General features: G+C 43.4%; 1 protein-coding gene across 3 annotated transcripts in view; it reads right to left on the minus strand.

Moving 5' to 3' along the window:
- Nucleotides 1-10,114, minus strand: part of TEX36 (testis expressed 36) — a 106,642-nt gene extending 96,528 nt beyond the window's left edge. For all 3 annotated transcript variants that reach the window (NM_001318133.2, XM_005269817.5, NM_001128202.3), the window contains exon 1: nucleotides 9,890-10,114. In NM_001318133.2, coding sequence (NP_001305062.1) covers nucleotides 9,890-9,940 — 51 coding nt within the window. In that variant the 5' untranslated portion in view covers nucleotides 9,941-10,114. The remainder of the gene's footprint in view (nucleotides 1-9,889) is intronic.
- Nucleotides 10,115-10,193: the final 79 nt, after the last annotated feature.

Consider the following 10,193-nt stretch of genomic DNA (forward strand, 5'->3'; position numbering starts at 1 on the left):
AGCACACCAGTGGGTCTTGACTCTTTATCCAGCTGTCCATTCTGTGTCTTTTAATTGAGGCATTTAGCCCATTTACATTTAAGGTTAATGTTATCTATGAATATGATCCTGTCATCATGATGTTAGCTGGTTATTTTTGCAGACTTGTTGATGTAGTTTCTTCATAGTGTCATTGGTCTTTGTACTTCAGTGGCTGGTAATGGTTTTTCCTTTCTATATTGAGTGCTTCCTTCAGGAGCTCTTGCAAGGTAGGCCTGGTGGTGGCAAATTCCCTCAGCATTTGCTTGTCTGAAAAGGATTTTATTTTTCCTTCACTTATGAAGCTTAGTTTAGCCAGATATGAAATTCTGAGTTGGAAATTTTTTGCTTTAAGAATGTTGAGGCTGGGCACTGGCTTATGCCTGTAATCCCAGCACTTTGGAAGGCCAAGGTGTGCTGATCACTTGAGGTCAGGAGTTCAAGACCAGCCTGGTCAACATGGTGAAACCCCGTCTCTGCTATAAATACAAAATTAGCTGGGCATCGTGTCAGGTGCCTGTAATCCCAGCTACTAAGGAGGCTGAGGCAGGAGAATCAATGGAACCCAGGAGGTGGAGGTGGCAGTGAGCCAAGATCACACTATTGCACTCCAGCCTGGGCGACGAGAGAGAGACTCTCTCTCAAAAAAAAAAAAAAAAAAAAAAAGGTTGAATATTGACCCCCAGTCTCTTCTGGCTTGTAGGGTTTCTGCTGAAAGGTCTGCCCTTAGTCTGATGGGTTTCCATTTGTAAGTGACCTGGCCTTTCTTTCTGGCTGACCTTAACATTTTTTCCTTCATTTCCACGTTGGAGAATCTGATGATTATGTGTCTTGGGGTTGATCTTCTTGTGGAATATCTTACTGGGGCTCTCTGTGTTTCCTGAATTTGAATGTTGACCTGTCTTTTTAGGTTGGGGAAGTTCTGGATGATATCCTGAAGTACGTTTTCCAACTTGGTTCTGTTCTCTCTGTCTCTTTCAGTTACCCCAATCAGTCATAGGTTTGGTCTTATTACATAATCCCATATTTCTCAGAGGTTTTGTTCATTCCTTTTCATTCATTTTTCTCTATTCTTGTCTGCCTGTCTTATTTCAGCAAGACAGTCTTCAAGCTCTGAAATTCTTTCCTCTTCTTGGTCTATTTAATTATTGATACTTGTGGTTGCATTGTGACGTTTTCATGTTGAGTTTTTCAGCTCCATCAGATCATTTATGTTCCTCTCTAAACTGGTTATTCTGATTAACAGCTCCTGTTATGTTTTATCATGGTTCTTAGCTTCTTTGCATTGAGTTAGAACATGCTCCTTTAGCTCAGTGAAGTTTGTTATTACTCACCTTCTGAAGCCTACCTCTGTGAATTCATCCATCTCAGCTTCTGCCCAGTTCTGTGCCCTTGCTGGAGAGGTGTTGCCATCATTTAGAGGATAAAAGGCACTCTGACTTTTTGAGTTTTCAGCATTTTTTCATTAATTCTTTCTCCTTTTTGTGAGTTTTTCTAGCTTCAATCTTTGAGGCTGCTGACCTTTGGATGGAATTTTTACAGGGACTTTTTTGTTGATGCTATTGTTTTTGTTGCATTCTGTTTGTCTTTCCTTTAACAGTCAGGCCCATCTTCCACAGGACTGCTGCAGTTTGCTGGAGGTCCATTCCAGACCCTATTTGCCTGGGTCCCTCTGGCACCTGGAATTACCACCAGTGGAGGCTGCAGAACAGCAAAGGTGGCAGCCTGCTCCTTCATTTGGGATCTCTGTCCCAGAGGGACACTGACCTGATACCAGCAGGAACACTCCTGTGTAACTTGACTGAGGGGTCTCACCCAGTCAGGAGGCATGGGAACCAGGGCCCTGCTTAACGAAGCACTCTGGCTGCCCCTTGGCAAAGTGGGTGCATTGAGCTGGGGGAATCTCCGCTCATCCAGATTGCCCAGGTTCCTTAGAGCCAGCAGGGGAGAAGACTAAGTCTGCTGATCCAGGGAGACCATAGCCACCCCTCCCCACAGGGGTTCAGTCCCAGGGAGACAAGAGTTCTGTCCTTAAACCCCTGGCTGGAGTTGCTGAAATTCATGCAGGGAGTCCTCATCCAGTGAAGAGGGATGGACCAGAGTCCAGCTTAAACAGGCAGTCTGGCCACGATCTGCCACAGCTGCTATGCTGTGCTGTGGGAAATTCCTCCTGGGTCCACATGGTCCAGTCTCTCCAGCACCAGCAGGGTAAAAATGGCAGACTGGAGCTACAGCAATGGTGGCCACTCCTCCCCCTGGGAGCTCAGTTGTCTTAGCAGGCAGCCACAGTGATGACAGCTGCCCCTCTCCTGGGGAGTTCAGTCGTCTTAGGCAGCAGGCACCCACGGTGATGATGGCCACCCCTCCCCCCAGGAACTCGGTAGTCTTAGGCAGTCCCCACCAAGTGGCTGCTGAGAATCTGCACAGCTCTGTGCTTGGGACCTAAGGCCCTGGTGGTGTGGGCTCATGAGGGGGATCTCCTGATCCATGGGTTGCACAGATCTATGGATAAAGCATGGTTTCCAGGGCAGGGCAAGATGATCACTCACCACCCTTCTTGGCTGGGGGTGGGAACTCAACCCCATGTGGCTCCCAGGTGGGCAGACACACCACCCTACTTTTCCTCACTCTCTGTGGGTCATGCCAACCACCTAGTCAGTCTCTGACAGAATCAGGATACCTCAGTTGCCAGTGCAGGATTCACTCACCATTTTCATTCTTCTCAGTAGGAACCTCCAACCACAGCTGTTTCTAGTTGGCCATCTTGGCCCCTCCCCACTAATTTTATCCCAATTTCTTCATTGACCCAGGGGTCATTCAGGAGCATGTTGTTTAATTCCTATGTATTTGCATAGTTTCCAAAGTTCCTCCTGGTATTGATTTCTAGTTTTATTCTACTGTGGTCTGAGAAGATATGTAATGACTTTAATTTTTTTAAACTGCTGAGACTTGTTTTGTGGCCTGACATATGGTCTATCCTGGAGAATGTTCCATAGGCTGATGAAAAGAATGTATATTCTCCAGTTGTTTGATAGAATGAACTGTAAATGTCTGTTGGGTCCATTTGGCCTAAAGTTCAGTTTAAATCCAGTGTTTCTTGGTTGAGTTACTGTCTAGATTGTCTGTCTAATGCTGGGAGTAGGGAATTGAAGACTTCCACTATTATTGCATTGCAGTCCATTTCTTTGGATCTAATAATATTTGCCTTATGAATCTGGGTGCTCCAGTGTTGGATAGCCATATATTTAGAACTGTTATATCCTCTTGCTGGATTGATCCATTTATCATTATATAATGACCTTCTTTGTATTTTTTTTACTGTTCTTGACTTACAGACTGTTTTATCTAAGTACAGCTACTGTTGTGCACTTTTGTTTTCCATTTGCATGGAATATCTTTTTATCATGACTTTATTTTCAGTCTATCTATATGTCTTTACTGGCAAAGTGAGTTTCTTGTAAGCAGCATATAGTTGGATCTTTTTTTTTTTAAATTCCATTCAGCCAGCCATTCTGTATCTTGTAAATGGATAATTTAAGGTTTCTGTTCAAAGTTATTATTGATATGTGAGGCTTTGTTCCTATCATGTTATTAAATTGTTTTCTTGTTGTTTACATCTTCTTTCTTCCTTTCTTTTTATCTTACTGCTTGTCATTGTGGTTCGGTGGATTTCTGTAGTGGTACAATTTGAATCCTTTCTCTTCCTCCTTTGTGTGATTGTTCTACGAGTGAGTTTTATACTTTTGTATGTTTTCATGATGGTAAATATTGTCCTTTCACTTCCAGGGATCCCTTGAGTATTTCTCAAAAGGTCAATCTAATGGTAAAAAAGTCCTTCCCTCAGCATTTGCTTGTCTGGGAAAGACTGTATTTCTCCTTCAGTTGTAAAGGAGAGCTTTGCTAGAAATAGCATTCTTGACTGGCAGTTTTTTCTTTCAGCATTTTGAATATATCATCCTATTGTCTTATGACCTGTAAGGTTTCTGCTGAGAAACCTATTGTTAGTCTGACGGAGTTTCCTTTATTGATGACTAATGCTTTTCCCTTGCTTTTTTAAAAAATTTGTTCTGTATCTTTGACTTTAGATAGTCTGACTATAACATTTCATGGAGAAGACCTTTTTGTATTGTATCTGCCTGGGGACTGTTGAATTTCTTGTACCAGAATGTCTAGATCTCTTTCTGGACTTGGGAAGTTTTTATCTATTATTGTGTTAAATAGGTTTTCTAATCTTTTCTTTGTCTCTTTTCTCTGGAGGATCCTGATAACTTAAATGTTTGATCACTTTATGTTATCCAAAATGTAACAAAGAGTTTGCTCATACTTTTCAATTCTTTTTTATTTATTTTTGTCTGACTGGATTATTTCAAAAGACCTGTCTTCAAGTTCTGAGATTCTTCTTCCTGATCAAGTCTATTGTTGAAATTTTCAAATGTATTTTGTATTTCCTTCCATGAGTTCTTCAATTTCAGAATTTCTATTTGGTTCTTTTCTTTTCTAAATATCTTTCTCCTTGGAAAATTTCTCATTCATATCCTGAATTATTTTTCTGATTTCTTTGTATTATTTTTCAGCCTTCTCTTGTATCTCACTGAGCTTCTTTAAAATGAATTTTTTTTTCTTTTTTCTTTTGAGACATAGTCTCACTCTATTGCCGAGGCTGAAGTGCAGTGGTGCGATCTTGGCTCACTGCAACCTCCGCCACCCAGACTCAATTGATCCTCCTGCCTCAGCCTCCTGAGTAGCTGGGATTACAGGCATGCACCATCATGCCCAGCTAATTTTTGTATTGTTAGTAGAGATGGGGTTTCACCATGTTGGCCAGGCTGGTCTTCAACTCCTGACCTCAAATAATCTGCCCACCTCGGCCTCCCAAAGTGCTGGGATTACAGGCATGAGCCACTGCACCCAGCCCCTAAAATGAATATTTTCAATTCTTTATCTGGTATTTGGGAAATTTCTTTTTGATTAAGATCTATTGCTGGTGAATTATTTTGTCTCTTGGAAGTGTATTTCCTTGCTTTTTCATGTTTATTCTGTCCTTACATTGCTATCTGCACATCTGGTGTAACAGTCTCTTCTTCCTATTTTTAAATTTACTTTTATAAGGGAGGACATTTTCCTGAAGATGTTTCCATGGTGTCAGTTGGATAGAGTACTTTGGCTTTGATTCTGCATGCATGTAGTCATGCAGGCTTTATATGATTTCTTTGTCTGTAACCACAATTAGTGGTACCTGTGATTTCCTCAGTGTGTTAGGGTGTGGTTAACAGTAGAGGCTGTGATGAAGTTGTGCTGGGGACTGAGATGCCAGGTAGGTCAGTCTTCAGGCCCCATTGGTGGCAGCAGTTGGCTGAGCATGTCTATCTTTGTGCCTCAGAGTAGTATAAGCTGGCACCTGTTTTGGCAGTTCTTGGTGGGCCAATTCTTGGGCCTCCCGGTGGCTTGCTTTGATACTAGTAGTGGCAGCAATGAACGAGGCAGGTGGGTGGGTTCTCAGGCCCCTAGGCAGCTGGTGTGGCATGGGTGATGGCAGTAGCAGTGGCAGGATAATTTTTTGGGTCCTGAGTGGTGTGCATTGATGTTGGCAGTGGTTGCGATGGGCTGGGCAGGCCAGTCTCTAGGACTGCAGGTGGTGCTTGCACATGGGGGCCAGCTGAGATGGTAGTGGCCAGGAGTTTAGGCCCAATCTGAGTTCCCTGGGAGGAGTGTACTCAAGGTGGTAGATGGGTTGGGCAAGCTCAAGGACGTGAGGCTCTGTGTTCTGTCATGGAAGAGGAGGCAAAGCCCGGCTGGGTGGGCTTGCGCTCAGGCCCCCAAAATATGACAGCAGGCACCAGCCATCGTGAGCAGGAGCAGGCCCCAGGTGGAGTGCTCAGCTGAGAGGTGGTAGCAGCTGTGCTGAGGCCCTGTCACTGGAGGGAGGGGTTGTCTTTGGTGGCCACAGTCTGGGCTGGTGCATGGGGAACACACATCCCTCTCATGCTCCAGTCCTGCCAGGGTTTGCCCTCCAACCTTGGCAGCAGTAGCCCATGTCTAGCTTGCTCCCCTTGGCTCTGGCTACAGGAGCACCCCCCCCGCCCCCGCCAAGCTGACAACTTAGTTCCAGTGTCAATTTGTGCCTCGCTCACACCCCAGTCTCCTGGCAGTGCTCACTACCCAGCACCAGCAGCTGCAGCTGCAGCCCGTGCCTCAGTTGCTTCTTAGCCTCAACTGTGGAAGTGCTCTCAGCTCACTCCTCAGTCCCAGTAGCAACAGCCCAAGTTTCCATAATGCCTCAGTCCAGATGCTTCTGGGGCCCAGGAGAGCGTGCAGTCTGTCAAAAGATAGATTTGAAAATGGCACCTTGCTATAGCAGCCTGGGTCTCAGAAAGGAACCCAGCATGACCTTCCTCCCTAGAGGAGTTCCATCCCACAGTTTCCGGGAGACTCTCTCTGTTAGTTTCAGGGAGAGAAGGGTCGAGAAGTTCTCCATGGCCAGAGTTACACATTTCTACAGTGGGCATGTGGGCTGCCGGAAGTCTCTCACTTACTCACTTACCCTTTCCCCATGTTGGGAAGTCACTCCTGGCTCCCAGCCGATCCCGGCCAGGCAGGCTGCCTTTTTCCTTTCTCTTTCCCCACGTACGGTGTTTCCTGTCACTTCTCTGTTGAATTCCAGCGTTCTCTCTTGGATAACATATTTGAAGTGTGACTGCCTGTACACTATTTTGGTTCTTCTAAGTGGGATAGGCGGGCACGCAATGCTTCTAGTCAGCCATCTTGACGCCCCTCCTCTGCCTTATTATTTTACGGTAGCTTTGGGTTGCTTTCTTCTCTGCTTCCTGTCGCACTCCCCAACCCCAGATAACAATATTAGCAACCAAGCACTCATATGATCACATACAAACACCTATGCCTGTGAGAAGACTTACACTGCTTTACAAAAATCAGATTATATCATACATACTGCTTTGCACCTTGCTTTCCTCTCTTAATATATTCTAGAAATGTGTTCAAAGTCAACCTATATCTTTCTCATTCATTCTATCTTCTATTTTTAAAATGTTTTCCAAAGAAATATTTTTAGAGGTAAATATAAATAATACAAAGGGTCTTCGGGTTCTGAACCTTTTCCTTCACCCTTCCTCCAGTCTGACTGAGTCAACACTTCCCTCTCGGAAGTTGTGGAAAATCAGGCTGGGGGTTGGGGGAGGCTGTTCTAACATCAAGAATGATGTCTCTCACCAGTTAAATGACAACTGAGTTGGGTTCATTTGTATTCAGCAGGTCTGTAGACTAAATCACTGTAAAAAATGGCTCTAGCGTTTTAATTTCGCTCTTTTAAAATATATATTTAATGGCTATAACATGATAGCTGTGAAATAAACCCTTCTGTTAGATATTGTAACCGTGAAATACAGCTTTTTAACAAGTTGGCGGTGAAATTTTTGCTTCGTTCAGTCACTCAATGACTGAAATATTAAATAGGAAGGGGCAAGTGTGTGGAAAAAGTCTTTCCTACCTGGCAATAGCTAGATTGCAACCAGCAAGGTCAACTGCAAAATGACTGTCACCTCTAATGTGGCAATTACGGTCCTCCCAAATGGGCTGCAGCTGACTCAAAGCCAATAATTTCTTTAATTTTTCCCTCCTCGTCTACAAGTTACTTTGGGAAACTTCATGATCAGCACTATTCTTTTTATGCTCTTAGGTGCTGACAGCAGAAAGGATTTTTGCCAAAGGCCCAAGCCAAGCTTTGGGGAACAGTGCCTTTCTCCCTAAAACCCAGGGACTGGGCTACGTTTCTGGGGTCTTGATAGAAGGATAAAATAAAATTTCTTCCTATGAAATGTTGATTCTCGCTTTCCCCCTTACCACAGAATTCAGGTTCTTCATTCACAGCAGCCATGTGGTTGGTTAAAAAAAACACCTCCTCAGACACCCTTTTAGCTAAATTGGCCATGTGACACAGTGAGATGGAAGCAGAGGTCTAGGGAGCAGGCTCCAGGGAAGGCAGGAAAGTATTGTTTTCCTGATAAAAAGGGGCAGACTTAGGTGACAGGCGCCTTCCATCTTTTTGTCCTTTGACCTTCCTCTTATTTCCCTGCCTGAGTTGTGGATTCACTGTTTGGAGCTGGAGTCATCCCACACTAAGGATGGCAAAACAGAATGCTGAAAAGGGAGCTGCTGATGACTCCCTTGAGCAGCTGTACTAGCCTGGGATGGCCAACTTCTAGGTTTCATTGTTACTTAAGAAATATAAATCCCTATTTGGTTAAGACACTGTAGTCACTTTAGTCAGCCTTCTATAAAATTCAGGCTAACAATTGTAACTGATACATAGGTAATAGCTAGAGGGAAAGCTACTTAATCTGAGCAACTTACATTTTTCTTTTCATGGGAACTTAGCTTTATGGAGTTGACATTATCTCTCATTTTACTTTGGCTGCCAGGGAACTCAGAGTCAAATGTGGTGCCCAAATATCTACCATATAATCCTGGAAATATACCTAATATTATGTCTATGTTATATGTGTTCTCAGACTCAGCCTCTTCTCTTTCTAAAGTATTTATAAAACTAGTTATAACTTTCTATTTGATTTATACTGTATTATTTTATTGTGTACATTTTCCATGCTTTAAATTTTTGTGGAATGAAACAAGGTATACATTTGTGTGTATACACGTATATGTACACATACATACAAAGTGTATATATGTTAAGTGGTTTCTATGTGCTCACTCATTGTACTGAGCACTTGTTAATGAGTCGTGAATCCCCCACCATGGTCTTCTACCCTTGGTACATTATGCTCCCATTTTACAGACAAAGAAACTGAGACTTAGAAAGACTAAGCTGCTTAGCCAAGGTTGTATCCAAGTGGGTAGATCAGTTTTTTAAAGCCTTCAGACCCAAATTTGCTGAAGTGTTTTCTGTTTTTCTTTGAAACAAATTAAAATTTTAACAATTTTTTACCTGTTGCTACCCTAAAAGAAGTCGACGTCAGGTTTTTCTCTGATTATGTTTCTCATTGCGAGTCTACTGCTGTGATTTCCCCTTAACATTCTTTTTGTGAATGAATTGTAGAAATCAGAAATGGGAAAGGCTTGAGGCTTGTCGGCCATGAAATATACATGTTGAAGAGCAAAGGAGAGAAGTGCTTGGCCGACAAGGCTAAGACCTCACACTTAGGAGTGACCCAAATGTTTCCTGAAGATGGTAGAAGAGTGAAAAATCCCACAGGCTCTGTAAGTGACATCAGAAGAGCAAGAGTTGGGGGAGAGCGTGAAGCTGGAAAGGGAAAGTTTTCAAGTGATGAAGATGAGTAAATGATGCATTCCTGGACTCTTCTCATTTCATAGGCCGGAGGGGCTAAAGGAATTGGATTGGGAGCCAACAAGAATTTGTTTAGAGGTTTCTAGTATAATATAATTACTTCAACACATATGTATTGAGTGCCTTCTATGCTCCAGATCCTGTTCTAGGCACTGGGGATACATCAGTGAATAAAATAGACAAAAATCCCAGCTCCATGGAGCTTATATTCTAGCAAGGGGAGAAAAATAACATAGATAAGAGAATAAGTTCTGTAGTATGTTAGAAAATAGATGTTAAGGAAGAAAGAAAAAGTAGAGCAGGAATGACTGCTTAGTGGACATTCACGAGGTTCCAGTGTGCTGAGCATTTTACATGCATTATTTCATTCAATCTTTGCAAGAGTGTTAGAGGATTCCCATGTCACAGATGAAGAAACTGAGGTTGAGTAAAGTGAAGTGATTTGTCAAAGGTCATGCTTCAGTAATAGTAGAAGCAGGATTGGAACTCCTCAGACTGTTGACCACACCCACGTGGCATGAGAAAGGCACCAGGGGCCACCATCTTCCTTACCCATCTCCCATCCTTGTCTGAAGGTGGGTTGAAGCGTCGCCCTTTGGTCATTCTCTCCAGGAAGCTGAATGTGGCTGAGATTGGCTCCCTCACCTCTCCATAAGCTCTACATGTCTGGGAAGCTGCTTCCTAAACTTCATAAGCTCTACACGTCTGGGAAGCTCCTCCTCCTCCTTGTTCCTGATCTTTACTTCTCAGCCTCTTCCAGGAGGGGAAGGTGCGGGTGCCCATTGTTGTCATGGAATGGGAACTCACCCATCACAATGGGCAAAGGAGTCTTCTAAACCCTCGGAGGATTCTTGCC

This window comes from Homo sapiens, chromosome 10 (assembly GCF_000001405.40).
Source record: "Homo sapiens chromosome 10, GRCh38.p14 Primary Assembly".
Classification (NCBI taxonomy): Eukaryota; Metazoa; Chordata; class Mammalia; order Primates; family Hominidae; genus Homo; species Homo sapiens.